This window comes from Homo sapiens, chromosome 10 (assembly GCF_000001405.40).
Source record: "Homo sapiens chromosome 10, GRCh38.p14 Primary Assembly".
Lineage (NCBI taxonomy): Eukaryota > Metazoa > Chordata > Mammalia > Primates > Hominidae > Homo > Homo sapiens.
The window spans coordinates 101,433,417-101,460,676 of record NC_000010.11 but is presented as its reverse complement, the minus strand read 5'-3'; the positions used below and the strand labels follow the sequence as shown (position 1 = coordinate 101,460,676).

Here is a 27,260-nt window from a genome sequence, read left to right as displayed (position 1 = left end):
ATAAAAAACGTACTGTGTCATTCTGAGGCCCTTTCACCTCTGTGGCTGACACCTGTGTGTCACCTTTAGTAAGCCTGACAGGCCAGTACCCTAATGTGTTTCTTTTGGGCAGAAATATCTTATGAGGTTTAACTTGATATTTTACATTTGTGATGATCCCTTGTAAAAGTCCCTAAAATTAAAGAAAAAGCATGCTATATTACAAAGAAAGGGACAGAGACTCAAGAACTTCAGAGTTCTAACTTCTTTTCCTCCCTGTTTGGAAAAAAAGGAATGGAGATCATCTACCAAAAAATGGAGGAAGGATATAATTGAATTAATGACTACAAAGCTTGACAAATGAGGCGACTGGCAATACATGCTATGTAAGAGTATCAAACAAAGAAAGGGAAAGGTCAACATTTATTTACCCCATAACATCAAGTTGTATGTTTAACTTTTTTTTTTTAAATGTAAAGATCAATGTTTTAAATACCAAAATTAAATGCCTTATATAATAGAAGCTTAAGCCAGTATCCAATTATAAACTTAGAATTTGCAAGTAACTCTCTTTCAGGTCATGAAATTCCTCCTTTAAATAAATAAATAAAAAGATCAGATAAACTAAACCTGTTTAATTCAGTGTAAGATCCTGTATTTCAAAATTAATTATGTTTTTTGAAATGTTATCATATAACTTGGAGCCTAATTACTTTTTGCTGGAAGTTTGTCATACCAAAGATACTATAAATCACATTTTTATTATACAGGTACTTGGGCTGATACACAATTGCTGGCAAACTCCTCTATACTGAATTATAAAGTGAAAAATAGTCATCTCAACCTTAACAGCCTGAGTATTGACTAGCCCATACTCACAATTTTCTTTTTACTGACCCTCTATTTTATCAGATTTAGATGGATAACCACTGGGTGGGTATTATGAAAATGTCTAAAGAATGAAAACACAAAGGGAGCTTAAAGGGTGTTACTAACCTAACATAGAACACAGAGCTTCTTAGGAGTTCCTTTCCCCTTTCTATCCCACTAGGGCAAAGAATATTTAAATGGTATTGTTAAAAATAACTCTTAAACAAAAAATGGGGGAAACCCATAAACATTGGTATGTTCTTTTAATACAGATTAACCCAACACTTTTACTCTGGGCCATCCATCATGAGAAATCAAATCAAACAAAAAATCCAACTTATAATGTTGTTACAAAAAAATAGAGGTAGGGACATTAAACAGTCATGATATCAGGAACAAGGATTAGGAACCCTCCTAATACTAAAGAGTAGAAGCAGAATGCCAGTGAATGAGATTACTAGGTCTACAGTCTTGAGGGTAAGGGGTAATGATGAAATAGCCATGTATACCTAAGTAGTCACCTCAACAGTTCTCAAAGCCTGTCCAACATCACCCAGGAAAGCTCAGCAACACAGTTATTCCTTGCATCTTTATCTATGAGGATTCCCAATAAGCTATGTGCATAATTTTCCTAGATCATCAGGCTAAATTATATCCAATAAATTCTATTTAAGGATAAGTGATTAATATAAGGAAGAATCATCATTGGGTGCTAAAATTAGCAAGTGAGCCTAGTACTTTGGCATATGCGTGTAATCCCAGCTGCTCAGGAGGTGGAGGCAGAGGGACTGCCTGAGTCCAGGAGTTTGAGAGCAGTCTGGGCATCACAGCAAGACACCATCTCAAAAACCTAAGTAAAATTTAAAACTACAATAAGTGAGTGAAAGTTTGACAAGTTAACAGGATGGTCACATAATCTCAAAATATTTTTTCTATAAGATACTTGATAGTTACAATGAAAAAAGAGTAACCTCATAGTGGAGAAATCCAGCAGATGCCACCTTAAGATTATGTGCCTTTTAATATGATGTACTGAAAACAGCACATCACTTGTGAGGTATCCTTGTCAAAACCACAAAACTTAAATCTACTTATAAGAAAACATCAGGCTAACCCAAAAATGAGTATTTCATTCCATAAAGTTACTAGTTTGTACCTAAGAAATGTCAAGGCCATGAAATAGACTAAGGAATTGTTTCAGATTAAAGGAAACTAAAGAGGTATAGCACACACTGTTGAGGCAATTGGAAACTTTTTAGTAAGTTCTGTAGGTGAACTAATAACACTGTATCAATATTAATTTCCTGATTGTTTCCCCACCATTAAAATTTACATACAGAAAAATTTACCCTTTTTGGTATACAGCTCTGTAAGTTTTGACAAAAACATACAGTTGTATAACACCGCCATTAAAAAATGAAAAATTCCACCACTCCCAAAATTCTCTTGAAATTCTCCTTAATAGTCAACCCTCTCCCCACTGAAAATCACTGATTTGTTGGCTCAATAATTTGTGCCATTTTCAGAATGTCATATAAATGGAATTATATCGTACGTAACCTTTGAATCTGGCTTTTATCACTTAGCATAAAATATCTGAGATCTACTCATGTTGTTGTAAATACTAGTATTTCTTTTCCTTTTATTGCCAAGTAGTATTATCTACTGTATGGATGTGCCACAGTTTTGTTTATCCATTCAATTTCCTGGTTTTGATAATTTGTACTGTGATTATTTTTATTAAAATGTCTTTGTTTTTCTGGAAACACGCACTGAAACATTTAGGGGGGATGGAACATTACGTCTGTAACTTTCAAATTGTTCAGAAAAAATAATACATAAATGGATGTATGTGCGTGTGTATATGTATTTATAAGCAGATATAATACAAATATGGTAACATGTTAACATTAGGTAAATCTATGTGAAAGGGTGTAAGGAGATTCTTTGTGCTATTCTTTTCACTTGTCTATAAATCTGAAGTTATGTCAAAATAAAAAATTAATTAATTAAATCCATAATAAAATGTTAAGAAATGGGAGAAAAGTTAAGTGAAAAATAAATTTTAGGGGGAAAATTCCATCAAATGTAATTAACGTTATATTCTACTGCTTAACTTTAAACCAACCCTAAGCAAACTTGACTGCTCAGAACAACAGATTCCCAATACTCAGATGGAAAGTTTCATTATAGTAAATAAATTGCAGAATGTGTTTGTAGTCCTTGAGTAATAATAGTCTATGAATAGCATTACAGTAGTCCTCCCTTATCCACAGTTTCACTCACGCAATTTCAGTTACTACAGTCAACTGAGGTCCTAAAATATTGAATGGAAATTTTTAGAAATAGTTTTCAATTGTGCACCTTTCTGGTAGCTCTGTCCTGCCCAGGATGTGAATTATCCCTTGGTCCAGTGTATCCACACTGTACATGCTACTTGACCATGAGTCATTGACATTGTCTGCTCCTGACATCCCACCACCAACATCTTCATGGCTCAATAATCCAGGATCACCTAAAGCAGGTAGCATGCTGTCAAAGGGTCAGTAGTAACCTAATGCTGTGTCACAATGCCTAGGTCATTTACCTCACTTCATCTCATCACATAGACATTTTACTGTCTCACATCATCATAAGAAGGGTGAGTACAGTACAGTAAGATATTTTGAGAGAGCATATTCATGTAACTTTTATTACAGTATAGTTATAACTGTTCTATTTTATTCTTATTGTTGTTAATCTCTTACTATGACTAATTTATAAATTAAACTTTATCATAGGTATGTGTCCATAGGAAAAAACATAGTATACATGGAGTTCAGAACTATCTGTGGTTTAGGCATCCACTGGGGAACATACCCCCTATGAATAAGTGGGGACTATAGTATATTAAAATATTTTTGTAAAAGATTCTACACAACTTGTTACCTTTTATATTAACTCAAATATTTATTTCTTAGCCCAGTGCACAACTTGTTACCTTTTATATTAACTCAAATATTTATTTCTTAGCTCAGTGCTTACTAGCTTAGAATTGAAAGGGCAGAATGAAAGTCTCCCTGTCAACTTTGAATTTAACTCCAAACTAGATGCATTTGGGCTGTAACACCTGCAGATACAGTAACAGAGATTTGGGTAGGAAAAGGTCAATAAAGGAAATACTGCTAAAGCTCCTGCATTAGACCTCAGGGATGCATTTTGGATAAAATGTTTCCACAACCAAACTGGGCGAATAAAAAAGAAAGTAATTATATTAAAAAAGTATTCAGGTGATAAGCTTAAACTGTCTCAAAATCAACACATCTAAATTTAAAGCACTCTTTTACCATCTCCACTCATTTCTAGGTCAGCTCTTTTCCTCCCAACTTTTCTTTTTATCCTAGACTTAAATCCTCAGAGTCAGTTTTTACTCATTCCTTTTTTTTCTTTGAACATATCTAGCTAATTTTCAGTCTATAAACTTTTTCTTTGAATCATCTATTTTAATACATCTGACCCTACTTTTGCATTTCCACTGCTTCTACTCTAGTCCAGACCCACAACACCTCTTACCAGTGCTATTACTATTGAGACAGCCTTCTGACATTGACATCCTTGCCTAAATCCAAATGATATATTCTATACACTAGAGTGGCAATCATCATTCTTTTTTTTTTTTTGAAACAGAGTCTCGTTCTGTCACCCAGGCTGGAGGACAGTGGCGACCTCGGCTCATTACAACTTCTGCCTCCTGGGTTCAAGTGATTCTCCTGCCTCAGCCTCCCGAGTAGCTGGGATTACAGGCATGCGCCACCATGCCCAGCTAATTTTGTGTGTGTGTGTGTGTGTGTGTGTGTGTGTGTGTTTTTAGTAGAGACAGAGTTTCACCATGTTGGCCAGGCTAGCCTCGAACTCCTAACCTCAAGTGATCCACCCACCTCGGCCTCCCAAAGTCCTGGGATTACAGGCGTAAGCCACCATGCCCGGCCATTAGAATCATCATTCTAAAAAGGTTACTTTCCTGTTCAAAAGCCTTTTATAGCTTTTTGGCAATAACAGGATAAACCCAAACTTCTTAGTACAGCATCCATAAGACAGCCAACTTAACACTTCATCAAAGTCTCTGTACCATTTACATGACATTATTTATCATTCACCAAAATAAGGAAACCACTCTTTCATCTCTGTGTTTTTGTTAATTCTAGTCCCTTAACATGTAACAGGCTTCTTTCCCAATCTCTTTATCTACTAAAAATCCTGATTCAAGAGTCAGCTAAAATGATACCTTCTCTGAGAAGCCTTTATCCCCTTACGCCTAACCTGCAGTTAGAATTAATTACTCCGAAGAAAAACTTCACTTCCAATTGGCACTTAATTCTTTATATCTCTTTATATCTCTACATGAACATGCTTCCCACCCCACACTACTGTAAATTCCTTCAAGGCAGGGCCAGTTTCTGTTTCATCTTATATTTCAGAGGTTCAGCACAAAGCTAGAGAATATAATGTGAATTTTAAAATGTTTTCTTGTCGGGAGGTAGAGACAGGAGGATTGCTTGGGGCCAGGAGTTCAAGACCAGCCTGGGTAACATAGCAAGACCCTACCTCTACATAAAAAAAAAAAAAAAAAATTAGCTGGGCATAGTGGCACATGCTTGTCGTCCTAGCTACTCAGGAGGCTAAGGCGGGAGGATCGCTTAAGCCCAGGAGTTTGGGGTGTAATCATGCCATTGTGCTCTAGCCTGGGCGACAGAGTGAGACCCTGTCTCAAAGAAAAAAAAAAAAAAAGTTTCTTGGATTGAATATTATTGCCAGGTTAATCTTTCTTAACACTGCTACTGTCGTAATGGTCTTTCCCTAAAATATTTTTAGTGGCTCTTTATTTCTATGAAATCAAATATGAAGTTCTAGGCCTGGTTTTCAGGACCATCCAGAATTCCCTACTATATTACACCAAGTTATTTCCCACAACACATCTTTTCTGCCCCAGTTAAGCAAGTTTCTTCATAGTCTCACCAACAGGTGATATGATCTTGAAATTTCGGGGTTGAAAGGATTGTTTTTTAAAGACAGGGTCTTGCTCTATCACATCAGGCTGGAGTGTAATGACATGATCATAGCTCCTTGTAACCTCCAACTCCTGGGCTCAAGTAATCCTCCTGCCTCAGGCTCCCTACTAGCTAAGACTACAGGTATACGCCACTACACCAGGCTAATTTTTCTGTTTTTTTGTAGATACAGGGGTTCTCACTATATTACCCAGCTGGTCTCAAACTCACAGCCTCAAGCAATCCTCCCACCTCCGTTTCCCAAAGTGCTGGGATTACAGGCATGAGCCACAGAGTCTGGCCTGGAAGGATTCTTAACTCCAGTCTAGTTCACTCAACAATTATAAACACAAGATTATCTCATCTATTCAAGTCTTACACATTCTTAAAATGAGGTTTAACTGTCATCTTCTCCAAGAAACCATAAAACTACTCCACCTTACTCTACTGGAAATTCCCTAACTAAATTTTAATCTTGATCCACACAACAGGCACTTAATTAGATAAATGTCTGCACTGTTACTTTCGACTAACCAGTAAGATTGAAAGATTACTGGGAAAAGTCTTTGTAGCTCCCTCTACCCACTAACACATTACGTAAGTATACAGATAACAGATGCTCAATGAATAATTGAAACCCTAAACCCAGACTGTCCAGCTAGCTTAAAAAAAAGTTTTGTTTTGTTTTGTTTTTAATAGCAGAGGAACTTCAGTGGCAGCCCAACTGCAGTCCTACTGTCCCACTACTTATAATGCCAGTATGATCAGTTAACAGCACTTACAAGCTCTGGCCTGACACATATTTTTGCAAATAAAGTTTAACTGGCCCATAGCCATGCCCATCCATTTACGATTTGTCTGTGGCTGCTTTCACACTACAACGGAAGAGGTAAGTGGCCACAAGAAAGATCCTATCTCCCACAAAGCCTCAAATGTTTATTATCTGCCCCTTTACAGACAAAGTTTGGCAACCCTTAACCAAAGCATTCCTAACTTTGAGGCTGTTTGTATTTTTGACTGTCCAATTCAAGAAGTAAAGATGTTTTGATGGCAGCACACAGCAGGTTCATAGCTGGGGCAATATTCCCCATGACCTAGTAAGTGGCTTATTTACTATTTTCAGTTATCTATTTGAACACACAACTCCTGATAAAATGGATAATTAAGAGTTGATTATATAATCAAATAAAAAATTAAACTAATTTACACAGTGATGAAAAGTCAAGCCACTCATAATGACTTACAATAATCTTTGAGTAAGCATCTTGCTCAAGGTTGGATGGTGCAACAGAGCCTGAACCTGTTTGAAGAGACATCTGTTATAAATAAAATAACCAGCTCCAAAGCTACAAGCGAACATTTCACACCAATGCCACATACTTCACTAATTTACCATTGGAGGATTTGAAGGACTCTGTAACTGGGATAATTCTATCATTTTAGCAAAGCAGGTAAATTGTGGTGGATTATAACTGATTTTGAACACATTTTAAAAATGAAATCATCTGCTCATCATCGTATAGAATGACAACCCACCTGAAGGAAAAAATCCTGAGACCGATTTCTAGTAACTAATTGCAAACACAGTATAGTGAACTTCAATGGTAAATTAGTAATTGGATTAATACTTTTTCCCATTAACTTATTATGTGACTTGGAGCTAATTTAGCTTCCAAATATAAATTTACAATTTACAAAAACAGAAATTATTATTTTACAAGGTTAACAGATATTTTAGCTACATGGACAAAATCACTCAAACTCTTGTATGAAAGGTGACATTAAAAAAAAACACTGTGTGTGTGTTTAAACAAATTTTAATTAATCCTTTTAGGATACAATGGGGAAAACTTAGGTCATTTAAGTTCAGAAGCTGTTCGGAAAATCCTATTCAAGGACTCATTTTAGGGAGGACCTAAAGTGTCCTCCTAAGATATTCTCTGGCATGTTTTCATGCACATTGCTTCTCCAGCATGTTTATCATTTGACATACTCTATTAAACCACAACCACATCAAGGCCTCCCTATACTGCTAAACTCAACAGATTCACCAGTTAAGGCTTTCAAGGAGTGCTCTTTTCTAGTAATATACCAATTCCAAGCACAGTGCTAACAACTAGATAGAATGGACAACATTCTCTGGGACAACCAAAGAGGACTTCCATTAGCACTGCCTTACTCCCTGTGACAGAAGTCAAAAAACTGCCAAGCAGGCTTTCTCCCCGCCACACTGTCCGACACTAATCATATAACACTACAGATGCATCCTTTCTCAAAATGCAGAGGGATTGTGTATATTTGCAAAGAACAACTATTTTTTATGCTTCCAAATTCTTAATCCTGTTTGGAGCTGTCAGTGGGGGTTAATGGAAGCCTTGGATAGGAGAATTCCAATCTGGTTGGCAGATGGATAGGTTGGTTATAGCTGCATAACTATGTCTTGCCTGCAGGCACAATTCAGAACACTGTTAAAGCAATATAAAGTCTCTGTCAAGCTGAACCATTTGGATCAGTAGCAAAGAGAAATAATAATAAAAAAGAAGTTCATTTCTGGGCCTTGTGCATTTATGCTAGTATGCAGAAACTGATTAATTGTCATAGTGCACTGGTCTTCTACACCTCAGATTTCTACTTCTGGAGTAGATTTTGCATGCTAATATAATCATTCTCCCTCTTGAGACATTAGCAAATAATCAAATGAAAAACAGGATCATAATTTACTGAGATTCGAGCAATTCTCTATGCAAATTTGACTTGTTATTGCTGCTGCCTCGTTAATCTGAATGCCTTTGACAAACTCCTTTGATTTATGAACTCGTGACAACTCCAATGTGTATATATTTTGCTAGATTGACATTATCATTAAGAGTGGGTGGACTGAGCTCACATGAATGGCTGATTTTATTCGCTGGTGTCTGCTGCTCAACAGCTGAGCATCTCCTCCTCACAAAGCCCCTGAGCGGCAGGCTCTTCCCATCTTCCCATCCATTCATCATCTCGATGTTAATTGGCCCAGGCTTTAAGCAAATTTTCAACACGATTTAAAGGCACGATGACACTGATTACTGACCCTCTGCCATACGGTGCCTATTGATTAACCTGACAGAGATGATGAGCTTGAGGGAAACTAGGTGTGTGGGGACCTCAGGGGGGAAAAAATATATTGTCTATGCAGGCAAACACTTGTCATTACCTCACAAGCCAGAATTTGCACAGCACACATTCTTAAAACACACTACTGCTTTAACACCTACAGCTAACACAGAAAGTGCTTTCTGTATTCAGAGATTACAGATATGTTATGTCAAAGCGCATGACACATTCAGTATTTAGAAGAACTCCCTAGATAGATGGCTGCCTTTCAACCAATTATGCTTGTTCTGGCTGATGTATCTAATTTAGGTTAAATTCTAAGAAAGTAACTGGGTGGCCTGGTAATGCTGTAACAGAAAAAAATAAGAATGAGAAAAATCAGATTCTTGAAAATAGAGGAAGGAAGAAAGGAAGGATTAAAATTATTTGCTGCCATTCTACCACTATTAAAAGGAGAAGTGCTCTTAAAGAGGAAGAAAACATCAACCTGATTATACGAATTTTGTTTTCTGTTCTTTTAATACTGCTACCTGATTACAACTGTCAAACTATTCCTGGCACAGAAATTATACCCACAACTGAATTATTTTTAAATAAAGTAATATTTTAAGTCTAACAAACATTCCCTTTAAATTCTTGCTTGCCCATTTTCAAAAACTGCTGTGCAAACTGCTATACTTAGGCAAATTGTGCAGGATCTTTGACATTAAGCTTCATAAAAACTAAATGTTTCATTATCAGAGAAAAAAATGAAAGTTCATAATTAATAGTTACTGAGCACATATATTAATAACAAACAGAAATCTGCCTTAAAATATTGCTAGGTCTGCGAATTTACACAACGTCATGCAGCACCCACTATCAGGGATCAGACAGAAAACATCTTTAGATAGGATCAGTTATTATCTAAAACAAAGCCAACAAATACCCTCCCCTCTGGCCACACATATCACCTTGTTTACTTACGAGTCCTGGGGGGCAGCCAATATACAATTTTATACACGAAGATTTTGGGGCAGCACTAACAGTTATTTCAAAGCTAAAATAATAGAAAACTGAACAACTCGGCTGTACTACCTATTACAGTGACATGGGCTGTTAATGTAAGAGATCAAATGTTTTTCAAGTCAAACAGCATTGGTGCCTGTTATACTGGAACATGTAGCTTATTCCCTAAAAGCCTGCCTCCTGCTCTTTTAAGATAAACAAGCTCAACTAAGCACTGAGATACTCTGATAAGAAGGATAGAAGAGATGAACTGCACCAGGGAGTGACAAGGCAAGGGCATGAATGAGCAGTGCTGCTTTCTCTTAACTTTCAAGTCACCGAAAATATCACAATACAACATTTTAATGTTTCACCATTAATTAAAAGTCTAGCTATAGGAGAAAGACAAATTTGTAGCAATAAATATGGGGACCAAAAAAGGGAGGGGGCTAAAACAGTTATCTGTTTTGTGAATAGGAGCGATATTACACAGCTGTCTGAACACAGTCAGCTTTGTGACTTCTTAATCAAAGGTTTGAACATCAACTTAGCAATGACTATGAGTATATAAAAGAGTTTGTAATTATGCTAATATGCTCCACATCAGAAGTAATAGTCCATTTAAACTTTACAGGTTTTTTTTTTTGGCTCTAAAGCCTTAATTTAAAAACAAACAAAAAAAAACACTTCCTACCTTACCCTTTCAAGTAGTTTTTTTTTTTTACATTTTTATCCTGCTTAATGTACGAATGCAATTACAAAACTACATCTACTTATTAAAATGTGGGTTAATATTTTAAAATCCCAAACAGGCTTGCAAAGCAGGCATCTTATACCACTGTAGGTTGTGTTTTTCGTGATGGAACTAAAAGGACAACCATTCTTTCAGGGAAAAAAAAAAGCAATCCACACATACGTTTACACTGTTCAAAATGCAACAACAATGTACAAAGTAGAGAAATACGCAAGGCAAAATGAATTAAAATTCACCAGGGGGATTTCAGATAGAAAGACATACATAATAAAAAGCCAAGAATACGTATCATGTAAACCAAAATATAACTAGCTTAACTTACCTTTTACCTTTAAATCTATAGGAATCTTTTAAAAAACTGCTTTCCTCTTTAAGACATTACCTTCACGATTATGTGTTTTGGACAGATTTTTTTGTGCCATGATTTTCTTTGCTGCCATATTTACAAAAATATTTCATCCAGAGATCCTCTGCATATAGTTTTGTGTAAATTAAGAGGCAAACATTTGCTTCCACTAATAAGGACATCTGGTTATTTTTGTAACTCGACCTCTGTAGATTTTCTTAAGTAGTTTTTTTATCAAAATAGGACTGAGAACTATAGAACCCTTAGGACGTATGACAAAATTCTTTCTCTCTGATGAATTTTTTTTTTCTGTCATCCTTGTTTCCTGGTTTTTTGTTTCTTTTTGCTAAATGACTTTCATCCCCTTGGATATCTTCCTTGCTTTGGTATTACCATTTTATTACAATTCAACAATATCTTGAAAGAAATTTAAGATTCCTTTAAACTTGATAAAAGCTAATATCCCGAGACGTAAAACCATCCCAAGTAAATAAACTACATTTCTGAAAGCTAGACTGGGCTAGATTAAGATCTGTGTTTAGGTGTATGTCTCTAATATGGACTGGTCTTGTTTAATCATTATTTTTTTTCCTAATTAAGAAATTATTATATAGGCTTATTATTATACTGTGTCCTTCCCAACTAATGATACTGCCTTAATGTCTCTTCGGGTCTTTAAAATTACAAATACCATTCCTCTCACTTATTTCTATAAATTTTTGGTTCCCAAGGCTGAAAAACATGTCTCAGCATAGATATTGAAGGGTATGCCTTAAAGAAAAGTAATATATAGGGAGAAAAAAAAAATTATACACCATACATTATATCCCTTGCTTTCCTCTTAAAATGGTAAGCAGACTAATTATACTCCTTATTTGGGATACTTGAGTTTAATCTGTAACTTCTGCTGTAAATCCTGCTTTCCATTTTCTGTTCATCTCCACCACAGAAATGAAAAAACTAGAATGAGAGAAAATATGTTTTTAAACAGAAAACAGCAAATATAACTCAGATTAACTGCATTCTCATGGGTCTCTAAGTAGCCAGACCCTAAGGTAGTATTGGCTTAAGGATTTAAAATTTGAGTGAGAAGTCTTCTATTTCTGAAGGGTCAAAGGTTATACACACCAATTCATGTCTTCAATTTTTCATTTGTTAACATCACCAAACAACAAAATGAAAATAAAACCAAAACAGATTAGCTTGGAGTTCTACCAGGGGTAATTTAATAAATTTATTGGGAAGGATGGCTAATTTTACTGCTCCAGGGATAAACAACCTTGTTGAGTTTTTGTTGTTGTTGTTGTTTTAAAGCAATGCTCTTTGATGTGTAAGTAACAAATTTTTAAAAGATGTTTTTTCTCCAATAGAAGGAACTGCCTTTTTCTATAGCAATGCAAATAGTTTCTACTTAAAGAATACCAAAATTATTTCTCTTAAGCCTAAGGTCTTAAGTTACTGGAATGCTAGAGAATGGCTGTATACCTCTAATCTACCACTTTGCTAACTATGCAGAATTTTGTGCATTTCTGACAAATCCTACAATTAATTTGATTATGCTGCCATTGCTTTCCACACCGTAACTATCTTCGATTTAAAGAATCACAAGAAATGTACATTTTCTGTTCTCAAAATTACCCCACAAGTCACTGAATTATAGAAAATTTTACTATCATTTAGCAGAAATTGGTTTTTTTTGGAAATATTAATAATACTTGGTTGATTAAAGAAAAAAAGTGATAAACAATCAAGATGTTTCCAACTTATTCTGTCTTTGACCAGAACCTAATTTTAAAGTGGCCTTTTAATTTAATAATCGTTGTAGCACTGAAATTCAAATTAGGCTAATTTTAATGAATGATATTTTAAAATCTGTTATTAGCTATCATCAATGGCATTTTGTTATTATTACTAATCTGTTACTATAATTACTATTAGTAATTAATAATATACTAATATCTGTTATTAGCTATCATCAATAGCACTTGTTGCGTTATGGAATGGAAAATACCACTACAGAGTTTGGTAATAGATAATTGGTTTGACAGATATCAAACATTAATTTTAATATCATAGTAGTTGTTCTTACAGTACAGAATTAGTGAATACCATAATAGCTAATTGTGGTATTAAAGTATCTCCTGCCAAAATACCCTCTTGTGGAAACCAATGTATAATGCATCTTTTGCTCCTATATACAATGAAGGAATAGTTGACTTCAAAACCAGTTGCCTATCACTGCTGTACAAAGGACATTCTGGGTAGTGGTCAGTAAAGAAAACATGGCCATTTCTAAATGCCAGTGGTTCCCAACATCTCCTTTCTTTCTGAGTGGAATCAAGTCTGAGAGCACTGACTTGTGGGTCACTTGACCCACGAGGGCCTGGATAGGTTTCAAGAATAACAGAGGTCATGTAATTGCCAAAAGAGCATTAGCCACTCAATCATAATGGATAATTAAATGACCTACATGATTCCTGAAATAGCTGCTCTATATTTGGTCTATTACTTGCGTCCCTCAAGATAAGCTACTCGTCTGGTCTGCCTTGACCCGCAAAAAGTCCAACCTGCACGCGAACACTAGCTGCATGCTTCTATTGCTTTGTAACCGGCCCCCCCACCACCCCCCACAGTATTCATGCCCCAGACTCTGCTTTCAAGAGGACACACATAAAAAAATCAATCTTGTATCCTTCTCCCTATTGTGCTCTCTGGAATACAAATGACTAAAGCAAAGAAAAAAATTAGTAAATTCCTGGTTTAGATCTTTGGGGGATAGAGGGAAGAAACATAAGAACTACAGAGAAGGAAAGTCATGGTTAATTTTTTTTAAAGTTTTGCTCATATGCCTTCAATGAGTTTTTACATTCCATTATAAAGCTAGTCAGGGATATTTTGTGGGCAGCAAGTCATTAAAACTCCAGTTGCCTAGACTTCATTTTTGATGGTGTTGAATATTGCAATCTTTCCTGGCCTAATTTTTTAGTCCATATAGAAAGCAAAGTGCCTCTCAACAAAATGAAATATACACAGCATCAACTGTTTTTACAATAGCAGTAGCCAAAAAAGCAAGAATTTGTAATGCCTCAAATTTTCATCTCTCTGAATAGTTCAACAGTCTCATTATAATTCTTAGTCACAATTACAACCAAATAGAAGCCAGGTATATCAAATAGCAAAAAATGTACTGGATAATTTGCTTCTTTGGGAGGAAAAGGTCTGCCTTTGGCCCTAGAGGTAGCTGCACATCTAGCAAACACTACAGAAAAAGGCAAGAGACAAGTAACCAAAGACAACCTCACAATAATGGCAAGGGACACAGGATGTGAGGGACAAAAGAGCTCACATTTAGAATACCTTAGAGGCTAGTAGGATTTTTCCGTTTCCACAGGAAATTATGTAGCTTGAGGCTACTGGCTATCCTGATCTCTTACTAGTACATGGATGGCTTAATAAACCTAGAACATATCTGTTTTAGTTAACTTCTGAGCACGGAGGGGGTTGGGGGGGTGGGGGGGGAAGAGAACAAAATGTACTTAAATGCTGAATTTTTTCTCCAGGCTGAATGCCTTTCATCCAATAAGACATTCAAAGCAGTGACCCAGCAAATGGATTGAAAAAGCAATCTTCCGTCCCAGTGCCACATTATCATTCCTATTCAGTATTCTCCATGAGATATCTCAATCAGCTGTGTGTAAGTGACAACGCAGCCCATTGCTGGGTTAATTAAACATTTGACTTTAACACCCTCCCCGTCATTAAGCAAATAAAAGCAGATAATTCAAACTGCACTTCATCCTCAGGGTACACAACACACATGTCAAAATTAAGAGAGTCCAAGGCCTCTGGGGAATTCTGCTGGGGCTATAATCAGTTTAAATCTTATCTGGTTTATCAATTATTCTATTGATTAAACCAAAGCGATTATACACAACTCCTCTGCCACATGGGATTGATGTCAGTAGAGCAAGAAAATAACTCCAGGAGGTTCCAAACTGATTTAAAAAGAGACCAATAGACAGACCGATAATAGTCGATTATTACATACCAGTGATCCATACACTGAAGAGTTGATTCTTAGTTTCAGGCGGGTGAAGTGAACTGTCTCCAATCACTATGTCCCTGCGCTATACCTTACAGTTGGCTTGAGTAAATTTATGTCTTGAAAGATCAACATATTTTCTACTGATTTAAACAGAAGCTAGCATGCTCAGCAGTTGAAATATATTTTATAGATACTGACCCTAAGCTCTAACAGAGAGAATCTCAAATAGGGAAAACAAAATTTTTTTTCTAATCTTCTTACCTGTATGCATGTGACCAGTAAGATGCAGGAATGAAAAGGGACATATTTGAGAGCTGATACTCCTACAAATATACAATCAGCTATTCCAATGTCCTAAAACACCATTATTCTTGAAAAACAGAATCTAAGAAATCAGAAAGATCTTACCAGAGAGTCATGACTCCTTTTATTAATTCCAAGGGCACCATCTTCAATGCCATTAATAACACTGAAAATATATAGTCGTATCTTCAAATGAAATGTCGATAACTAAACCCTAACATATCGAGTTTCTACCAGAAATTTGTAACCACAATTTAGTTACCCTCCTGCCCCATTCATTGTGTAATATCTTTCAAATGTCTAGAGCCCCTATAACCTCAAGGCCATGCCCTACTATATATGAGAAAACCACTAATAAAACCTAACAAAATGAGGGAGGGTGGTTAGACTACTCCACACCTGAAATCTGTGCACTTACAGCCATGCTCTTGAGAAAGGAAATTTGTTCACTGCTATGCTGGCACCGCATGTGCATTCAACCATAATTTATCTCCTTCAGATTTTTTGTTTTCAGGCGGACTAGTAAGAAACTTGCATTAGCATGCTGTATTCTACACTCACCACTAGAAATACTGAGGGTGCTATTTGTAATTGTATTCTTTTTAAGAGGTTTATTCTCTGCAGCTGTTTTCTGCTTGCAGTGTATTTTGTGTAATCAGCACATCATCATAAATACATTGGCTGTTCCCCTGAGGGTAGCTGTCAGTGTTTAATTTACAGAACAACCTGGCCAATGTGAATTTTAACACTACAGCACTATGGCAAGGAGTTACCACACTCTGTGAAAAACAGGTTTCTATGAATTTTTATATCAAGAGCTGGTCCCAGGACAATTTAGGTTCTAGAAACAGACTGTTTAAAGAAGCACTTTATACCTTGTATGCAATAGACTCTTTCTCAGTTATAGCCTCAGTAGAAGCCCCAAACTATCAAATCACCAGTGGGAACTACCAGTTCTGAAGACAACAAGGATTGAAAATCTATGATCAACCAGTAGGAGGCATTGTAACAAATATTATCATCTCTTTTTAAGCTACATGTACAGCTATCACAAACATCACTGTTCCCTTAGAAGGTATGTAAAGGCAAGAGAAAACCATTTAAGACACAGACTAGTCTGAAATATACATTATCACTTTTTTGCTGAGATGAGATATATCTGATATGAACATAAGTATACCATTTCCTTAGGACTGCTACTAAGCCAGACCTCTAGCTCAATAAATCAGAAAAAAATACATATGACTAATGGTTAACACTAGTAATTATATGCACAGTGACTGGTATATAAGTACTTAATACATGTATAACAAATAACTATAAGCTCCTTGAGGATAGGTTCTGAATCTTAATTTATGCCTAAGACTTTGTACAGTAATTGGCAAATAAAAGGTACTCTGTGAATCGAATCGGAGTTGTGGCTAGTTGTGAATGGCCATGTTATTTGTAAAGCCTTACATCTACTTGATGTCAAAAGGATTTTCTAAATCAGTAAAATGTCCCTAAGGACAATATAAAAAGTACAAATTATAGTCATTTTAGTGAGAGCTATTCATACAAGAAATCTAAGTACCTCAATCTCACAATGAAGAACAAATTAGCCTACAAAATAATGGCATATTCAAACATATTTTAATAATGAAGATTACATAGAAGAAATTAAAACTTTTCTATGCTATATACTTGTTTCTATATCTTTAATATGATCAAATGGAAAGTGATCGTTTTAAATGCTCAGAATGGTAACCAACAGCACTTTTACTGAAGTGGTTTTGTATGCACACATACACATTCTATAAATCAAGTGATTATACATATGTATTTTTCTGTTAAGGGCCATTTTTACAAGTTAGAATGCCTAGAGTTAAACTGAATCAAAATATATTTCATGTTGAGTTGTCCTCAGTGTATTTATTTGCTTTTAATGTTGCGCAGGACTACATTTGCATGTTTTACAAAAATCAGTAAATTGTGACTAAGATTCTTTTTTTCTTTTAAAGGAACAAAATAACTGACTTCACTTAGGAGGGTTTAAAACTTGCCCAAATTTGTGGTAAACTTAATTTTTAAACTATTAAGTAGAACAACAGAGGCCAGGCACGGTGGCTCATGCTCGTAATCCCAGCACTTTGGGAGGCCGAGGCAGGCGGATCACGAGGTCAGGAGATCCAGACCATCCTGGCTAACATGGTGAAACCCCGTCTCTACTAAAAATACAAAAAAATTAGCCGGGCATGGTGGCGGGTGCCTGTAGTCCCAGCTACTCGAGAGGCTGAGGCAGGGGAATGGTGTGAACCCGAGAGGCAGAGCTTGCAGTGAGCCGAGATGGCACCACCCTGGGTGACAGAGCGAGACTCCGTCTCAAAAAAAAAAAAAAAAAAAAGAGCAAGTGAGATCTGTACAACTTACTTTGATACTGCTATAATTAATATAAGCATAATCACATACAAGCAAAATCTGGTAACACCTTATTTCTAACAACCAGGAAAAAAATTGTATTTAAAAATATGAACAAGCCCTGTATCATTTATCCTTTCTATGATGCTAAGACATTTCAAAAACGTTAATTCCTTTTTACGTTTATGTCACTGAAGGACAAAATGAGAAAAAAGATGACCCACCAACTCGATTTTTTTTCACCAGTTAAAGGAAATTTTTAATTCAGTTGAATATTTGTAACTTAGTACTTAAAAACTTTATGCCTAATAAAATATATCTTAATTTTTAATACAGAAATTTATCACATTCTTTCCTTTTCAATTTAGAATTACAAAATTACATCCTGGGACCTTCTGAACTAAACTGGATGGGGTTAGACTGAGGTCACGCTGTATTTTCTCTTCCCTGGAGACCACGTAGTAGTTCCATAGGCTGCCATTAGATAGCAGCACAGTACACACCATCAGTCATGTCTCTCATAGTCTCTCCCGTTAAGGTTGGAATTATCTCATTTACACACACACACACACACACACATACACACAGAGACAGAGAGAGAGAGAGAGAGAGATTCTAATTCAATTAGTGCAGTCGCAACTCCAGAAAAGAGTAATTCAATTAGTGCATTGTGGAGCTCTACAGTACCTCTAAGCAGATGTTCACCATCTTCAGGAACTGGAGCTAGGTTTAAAATACCTGTGCCACTCTGATATGCCGCTACATTATGTCATTTGTCAAAGTGCTTACATATGCTTTTCTATGCTTTTCTGGCTTCAAAGAAAAGATGAGGAAACAAACCCAGGCTAAGTTCCTAGAAATTTTTCCATCATTCAAATCAAAGAAGTATATGCAATCTTAGGCAGTAATTAAATTACATTATTTAAATTGTGTTCAAAACAAGACGTGTCTACATTGTATTCTGACTTATTACACTTTTTTTTTTTTTTTTTTTTTGAGACAGTCTCACTCTGTCACCCAGGCTGCAGTGCAGTGGGTGTGATCTCGGCTGACTGCTATCTCCGCCTCCCAGGTTCAAGCGATTCGCGTGCCTTAGCCTCCCAAGCAGCTGGGATCACAGGCATGTACTACCACGCCTGGCTAATTTTTTGGATTTTTAGTAGTGACTGGGTTTCACCATGCTACCCAGGCTGGTCTCAAATTCGTGAGCTCAGGCAATCCGCCCGCCTCAGCCTCCCACAGTGCTGGGATTATAGGCATGAGCCACCACGCCCGGCCAAGAAAAAACTTTCTAGTAGAACCAACAAAGTAAAAGCAAGATGCTTCAAGAAGTTTGATTCACCAATAATGGTAGTGATCAGGGAGAGATTAGATGACTCCCTTCCAAACACATTTCATAAAGGATTTCTACATTATGAGACGTATGTGACTAGATGGCCTCTGATGTCTGGTCCAATGCTGAAATTCTATGGTTCTATGAATACACTGATGTTTGCTCATGAGGCAAGCCTGGAGTTTAAATAATAAAGCTAATCATTAATTGTGAAGGTGTGGTTGTAAAAAGCCCATAAGCTGTGAGGCATTTTCACTGTATTGATGCATAATACATAAGAAGAAATTTTGTAGTTTCTTTGTACCAGATTTAGAAAACTCCATAAAGCATATTTCAGTCTCATTTCTTAAACACTTGCATTCCTCTTATTCTTCTAAGACTGCAAAAAATGGTTTGTTTTCATTCATCCTGTAGAAATCAGCCAATGAGAAATCAATTTCTACAAGAATGATTTTTGAAAACTCCCCCACTGAGTCAAGACAGTGGGTTCTCATAGCTTAAATGCAAATCTACATCAATGTTTATGCTTTAAAAATTCAGAGCAATACTTAAAAACAACAATAACTAGTTCTTAATATCCCTCCTTTTGGTATTACTTTCTGAGCACAATATTTTTAAGTAAGGACAAAAATCTGGCTACAAAGGAGCAGGACTTATATTTTACAAGTATTATCTTCTCTCTTTCTAGCATGACCTCAAAGCAGGAATTACCAACACCATTTTTCCAGTGCATTTCACTAGACTGATGCAGAACAGCTCTTGCCTTTCACATTTTCAGAGGAGAGGGCTAAGCTAAATAGTTGCCTTTTTTTTTCTTTTTTAGATGGAGTCTCACTCTGTCAACCCAGGCTGGAGTGTAGTGATATGATTTCGGCTCACTGCAACCACCACCTCCAAGGCTTAAGCGATCCTCCCACCTCAGCCTCCCGAGTAGCTGGGACCACAGACTGGCACCACCATGACTGGCTAATTTTTTGTATTTTTGGTAAAGATGGGGTTTCACCATGTTTCCCAGGCTGGTCTCGAATTTCTGAGCTCAAGTGATCCACCCACCTCAGCTTCCCAAAGTATTGAGATTATAGGTATGAGCCACAGTGCCCAGCCATTGAGGAACTTTCAATACAAACTCTTTTCCATACTCCAGAAGAACTGCAAAAGGCCATTCATTCTCAGTTAAAACTTTACTTGTAAATTCAATGCCCCAAAAGGGATGAAAATGAAAGCATACATCAATAGTGCTTCCTTAGAAGAAAAAATATATATGTTGTTTTAAGATGTATTGTAATTTATAAACTCCTACTCATAGCTTGAAAAAAAAGATGTAATTTAAAACATAATAGAAAACTCATTTTATTACTACAAAATATTTTCCAAGAAATATATGGTGGTTTTATAAGGAAGATTTTCTATTCATTTGGCATAAGCTGGACTAATATAAGCATAATGTTTCTTCCATATTACCTAATGAGCTTTCTTACTATAAATACACATTTTCCACATTAAAAAAATATTTTTCTTCCCCAAATTTTAAAGTCTTCTATAATTTCACCACTTGTTAAAGACACTGGATAATAAGAGCAATAAATAAAATAGCTGGGTGAATTCTGATTGGCCTGGCAATACTGCCATATAGTAGGCTATCAGTTTAACAAACTATGTCACTGCATCTCTTTACCCAATACCACCTTCCCAACTTCCTGCCTCCACAAAAACAGAAATGGGACCTAACCTGATTCTTCCTTACAATAGGGTGTTCCATAAATTCCACTATTAATAATACACTAACCCAACTTTATCTCCTTTGCCCCACAGCCTGCATTTATTTTCTAGTGTTAAGTTTGTTTGGCTCCATCAGCACCACTTCTCTTTAACACTGTCCCTTTTCATGCATTTAAGGCAACTACTTCCAACCCTATCAATGAAAGCAGACAAATGGGGGAGAAAGGAATGAACTGCAAACACCTCAAACAAGAAAGGTTGCTTAAAAAACCAAGTGTCACATTCTGACAGTTCAATATTTCATAGCCAATACAAGGAATGTGCAACGATACTGCAACTTTAAATCTTTTCTTCATAGTATGTCAGTCTCTCTTTCTCTCATTGTAATGCCAAAGGGAACAGCAATCAGAGTGGAGATGTTCAACGTGATAGAGGTCAGGACACCATCGGATCAACGTACCAGAAACACGACCTTGTTTATTTTTTTTCCACAGTATTATTGTTTACAGGGTGCTTTGCTCGTGTACCTTGTGGTTCTTAGCTAAAAGATGAAATTACAGCCCAGGATGAAGCGCTCAGGCACACATCCAATTTGTGTTTCCATCTCAGAAAACAAAAAGCTTCTAAGGCCCTCAGGCTGCCATTCAAACTTGGAGGCTGACATTTTTAACAGCATGAACCAGAGACTGGCAGAGAGAATGATCTAATGCATTTCTGACTTGTCAATCAAATATCTCACCTCTGCTGTCTTGTAAACAGTTGGGGACCATCTAACTACATTCATAAACCTAGGGAGAGCTTACTGCCAGCTGGGGTGCTGTAGCCACATGCTCTGGCTTCTATTCACCAAAATCATGATTCAGTTTTATAATCTCACTGTAAATAGTCCATAGGCACATTTCCAGGACTACTGGAATTGAACCAGAGTAGGGAATACAAAAGAGATTTTGGTCAAATATTGTGTTATTTTCAAGCTGCTGGAATCCTGTACTAATTTTATCCTCATTTTACCAATTCTCCCCAAAAGATTGCACTGTGCTGCAGTTGAAGTGCTTAAAAAAATAATGACCTGCTTTTTAAAAATCTAGGGGAAATATACTAATATTATATTACAAATTTCCCTTGTAGTTTATTACCAGTAACAAAACAAGTACTCCCCCAAACAATGGCTCATATAAAGGGTAGAAACTACAATGAACAGTAGCAACTATATTTTGGTAAAACTAATTATGTACTTTCTTTTAAATAGAAAACTGAAATTCATACACAAAAGTTTTGTACTTACTAATTTGACACAATGTAGTATATATGTATGTGTATGTGTGAGACATAAAAACATAAAATTAGATTACTTATATTGCTAATGAGAAGACTTTTTTTTTTTTTTTTTTTTTTTTTTTTGAGGCAGTCTCGCTCTGTCGCCCAGGCTGGAGTGTAGTGGCGCGATCTCGGCTCACTGCAAGCTCTGCCTCCCGGGTTCATGCCATTCTCCTGCCTCAGCCTCCCGAGGAGCTGGGACTACAGGCGCCCACCACCACGCCCGGCTAATTTTTGTATTTTTAGTAAAGACGGGGTTTCACCGCATTAGCCAGGATGGTCTCAATCTCCTGACTTTGTGATCTGCCCTCCTTGGCCTCCCAAAGTGCTGGGATTACAGACGTGAGAAGACTTATATTGCTATTCTTTCCCTTCTGTATATGACCATCTAATCCAACACACGTAAAAAGTTAGACCCAATCAGGAATTTTTTGTTAAAGAATCAAGTACGAAAATGAATACTCCTTTTCTTCATGTCAATTTTACAGGGCACAGAATTCCATGCATGCTCTGGGTACAGATCCTCTGACTAGTTTAAGAGAGCAAAGATAAAGATCAGGGAAGACTTTAATTCTAGCTCAGCTTGAGCTGAATCTTGAAGATTAGGTAGACAAAGGCAGAGAGTGGGTAAGGGACAATAGGTGTTTGTGGAGGGGTTTTTTCAGGTAAGCAGAACGGTATATGCAAAGACACAGATATATAAAAGAACACACTGCACCTTTGGGGAACTGCAAAATTTGAAATGACTAACAATTACATGAGAGGGAGGTGGTGGTCAGATATAAGCCAAATTCAAACTTTGTTCAATTCAAAAACATGTGAGCAGCTATCTATGAGATAAACAGTGACCAAAATCAGTATTACCAGATGATGAATGTAGAATTTGAGCAATATGATATAGGTGAAATTCAGAAATTACTAGTATCACTGAAACGGTAATCTCTGGGAGGACATTTAAAATCCTTCCTTCTTTCTACTTCTATTTTCTACAATGAATATTAAATGTTTTAACTGTATATCTCATAATTTAATTAAATGTAATAAAATACTTAAAAATGAAACCATTATTTGGGCGTGTGTGTGTGTGCACGCACAGGCACACATGGATGGATAAGTCATTTCAGATCAAAGGACACTAACATGTTAATCTAGCAATAATTATCTTAAAGTGGAAGGCATATGGGTGATACTCTTGTTTATATATTTACCAAATAATGTACATATTCCATAATAAACAATAATTCATTTTATTAGGAGAACAAAACATTTCTGCACAAACAAACAAAAACATGTTTGATTTGTCATTCCCTGCAAACCCCTAAGGTGAAGGGTGTAGCTGGGATAAATACAAGTCAAATGTTAACATATACATAAAAAATAACTACATTTATTATACAGAAATTGTGCTACACAGAAATTATTCATATACAATAGAGAGGGTATCAGCTACAGAATGAGAAGCATTTCTGTCACAGGATAATTTTCCTTATGGTATTGTTTTGTAATAGAATTTGAATGTTAATGTATATTCAATTCGATAATCCATATTCCTCTAAAATCTCAAATGTAAAATTAAGTTTTCCATATATATAATGAATAATGCCTAATTTTCCTGTATTGTTCCATTTTAACATTTCACTTTGTACATGGTAAAATTCAGTAGACTTGTAAGCATTCTTAAGGAATAAAATACAACATCTCTCCTGAATTCAATACAATTTCAACCTTTGACATGGAACCCTAGCTAATGTTAAAATATCACGTTTCACTTAGCTCAAGATTTTCCTAAAATTACTGGTTACACTTGATAGCTAAAGTATTCTAGGGCCATATAAATCTATCTATCTATCTATCTATCTATCTATCTATCTATCTATCTATTTTTTTTAATTGAAACAGGGTCTCACTCTGTCACCCAGGCTAGAATGCAGTGTCGCAATCATGGCTCACTGCAGCCTTGACCTCCCACCTTGGCCTTCCAGATAGCTGGGACAGGTGAGTACCACCACACCCAGCTAATTTTTTGTAGAGACAGGGTCTCACTATGTTGCCCAGGCTGGTCTCGAACTCCTGGGCTCATGTGATCCGCCAGCCCTGGCCTTCCAAAGTGCTGAGATTATAAGCGTGCATCACCGTGCCCGGCCCCTTACTTATATTCTTACAGTCAGAATTTCATTTCTCTTCTCTTTCAATATCTAAAGCAAAATAAAGAATCTTAATTACTCAGCTATTTTTAATTACTTTAACTCTATTGCTCATTCTCATTTAATATTATAGATTATAGGATCACCATTTGCTGGGAATGAGCAAATGATTCCATCAAATATATCTACTGGTAATCAACAGAAATCTTCTAATCACTCATACACTTTCCAGGATAAATCAATGGAATGATGAAAATAAAAATATCCTCAAACTAAACATATCCCCATAGAATTTATTCTAACAACTTTTTTCAGCATCTTCCCTGTCACTAGTTTTCAAACCATCTCAATGCTGTGGTTTCAATTTGAGCTACTGGGAATAATCCAACAAATTCAGCAATGACTCCATAGCTTCTCCTTCTTTATTGCCATAAGAATTTTGACTTAAGATGCTTCAAACTTACTAAAAGAATCCAATGATCAAAAAAAAAAAGTCATGAAGCCATTACATTAAATGAGACATTTCATTAACATATTTGTCAATATTAGTAAAAATGGGTATTCCTGTGACAACCACTTTGAAGAATTGCTTCACTGTCTCTTTTAAAGTTAAAAATACACTTACTCTATGACCCAACAAATTCCATTCTTAGACATGTACCTAAGAGAAATAAAAATACATGCCAAAAAAAAGACTTATACAAAACTGTTTATAGTAGCTTTATTAATAATAGGCCAAAATTGGAAACAATCCAAATACCTATCAATAAATGAATGGATAAACAAATTGTGGTGTACTAATATAATGAAATATATTTAACAATAAAAGAGAACTACTGATATACGTAACATGGATAAATCTTAAAAACATCATACTGATTGAAAGAAAACAGACACAAAGAATGTACACTATATGATGGCATTTATATGAAGTAAGTTCAAGAATAGGCAACACAAATTCTTGGTGACAAATCAGAACAGTAATTGCATATGGGGGATGGGTACAGACTGGAAAGGAGTATGAGGAAACTCAGATTATGAAACTGTTGTGTATCTTGAAATTGAAGGTTACACAAAAGTATGCATTTGTCAAAACTCACCTAAGAGTACACTTATGATCCATGTATCTCACTGTATGTAAATTTTACCTAAATAAAAATCTAAGTAAATAATTTACCTAAATAAAAATCTAGGTAAATAAAATAAAACCTAAACCAGAAGGATGCAAATGCACTAAGACTGCTGTAATTCCAGTAGGTGGGCAGAGAAGATACTAGATTCAAATCCAGTTTCTGCCTATTAGTCAACCAGTATTATCAAGCACCTGTGTGTGCTGAACCTGACATAGAACAAATTATTGAATTGATAGGGTAAAACCAGTACATAAGCCCATTTTTGCTACATAAGACATAATAATAATCTTGTTGAGGCCAGGTGCAGTGGCTCATGCCAGTAATCCCAGGACTTTAGGAGGCCGAGGTGGGCAGATCACCTGAAGACAGGAGTTTAAGAACAGCCTGGCCAACATGGCTGAAACCCCGTCTCTACTAAATTTGCGTTTTTAGTAGAGACGGGGTTTCAGCCATGTTGGTCAGGCTGTTCTTAAGCAGTGGTTTTTCACAGGCACTATAGCCCTGAACTCCTGGGCTTAAGCAATCCTCCCGCCTCAGCTTCCTGAGTAGCTGGGACTACAGGCATGCACTGCTGTACCTGGTTCCTGCTCATTTTTTTAAAGTGTCTTTTGAAAAGCAGAATTTTTAAACAGTGATGAAGTCCAATTTATCAGTTATTTCTTTTATGGTTCATATTTTTTGTATCTTAGCTAAGAAATCTCTGCCTAACCCAAAGTCACAATGATTATTTTTGCCACATTTTCTATTAGTTTTATACATGTTAACTCCGATTTAGGTCTATGATCCATTTCAAATTAATTTATGTATATAGTGCAGTATAACCGTTGAGGTTCATTGTTTTGCACAAGGATATCCAATTGTTCCAGCATAATTTATTGAAAAAAACTGAGACCAATGGATTTTAATACAATAACAGAGGAAGTTCATTGATAAGGCTTCAGATACCATACTGCAACTAATCTTCAAGAAACTGCAACTACCTGAAAATGGTATTAAAATATCTTTCCCTTTCAAACTATATACCTATGCCAGGTCAGATATTACTCACATATGTCAACCAAAATAACAAACCACAATAGATTGAGTGCAGAAGCAGACATGAGAATCCAGCTGTCTTTTCTTAATCCAGACATTAAAGAGATTCATAAAAATGTAATACACTAGTCTTAATTTTTTTTGAAAAATATATTTTTCATAAAAATGTTATTTGCATTATATGCCACAGGTTTATTATAGTCTTTAGGTGAATTAAAGAATATTTAATTTTTTTTTCTTAATTCCTATTACAAATATAGTGAATATCAATAGATATAAGCCATATAAACAAAAGCACTTTGGGGTCCTCAATAATTTTTTAAGAATTTAAAGATCCTGGGTCCAAAACCAAGCTGCCATCATCTCTCTCTTCAACTACTGAAATTATCCTTTTTATAGCCAGAGTAACATATCTAAATGCATCTTCTTATAGCCAGAGTAATGCAAATCAGATCAGGTAAAACTTGTGCTTAAATCCTTTCAGTGACTTACTATTCTTAGAATCAAGACTAAACTACACACTTTGAATGGCCCATAAGACCTCAGTGATCAAGCTTCCCCAGTCTTTTCTCACTCTATTCTCCCCTTTCTCTTTATTCTCTGAAACAACAGTCTTGTTTTCAGTAGGGTCCTTAAATGCACCAAGCCTCACTGGCTCTTGGGGCCTTTGCACTGACTCTTCCTTAGGCCTGAAATGTCCTCCTTCTCCTCCATTCCTCCCTGTTATCGAGTTAATTCCTATTCATCCTTCAGCTCTTAAACATTGATTACCTGATCT

At 36.0% G+C, this 27,260-nt stretch overlaps 1 protein-coding gene across 14 annotated transcripts in view, besides 1 other annotated feature; it reads right to left on the bottom strand.

The window, feature by feature from the left end:
- The window catches only part of BTRC (beta-transducin repeat containing E3 ubiquitin protein ligase), a 203,266-nt gene that overhangs the window by 96,637 nt on the left and 79,369 nt on the right, over nt 1-27,260 (bottom strand). The window contains exons 1-2 of one of the 14 annotated variants that reach the window (XM_047425985.1): nt 9,936-10,074; nt 7,121-7,176 (exon numbers count right to left, since the gene is read on the bottom strand). The exons of 12 other annotated variants lie outside the window; for them this stretch is intronic. The gene's annotated coding sequence lies outside the window, so the exon portion shown is untranslated. Of the gene's footprint in view, nt 1-3,213; nt 3,485-7,120; nt 7,177-9,935; nt 10,075-27,260 lie in introns of those variants that run through there. One more of the 14 variants, XM_024448247.2, reaches the window with a different exon arrangement.
- Nucleotides 18,918-19,418: an enhancer, noted in NCBI's record as "H3K4me1 hESC enhancer chr10:103201016-103201516 (GRCh37/hg19 assembly coordinates)". NCBI's record gives its function as "activates a minimal SCP1, AML or CMV promoter by ChIP-STARR-seq in primed H9 embryonic stem cells {active_cell/tissue: H9 hESC(primed)}" and the evidence as "EXISTENCE:reporter gene assay evidence [ECO:0000049][PMID:30033119]".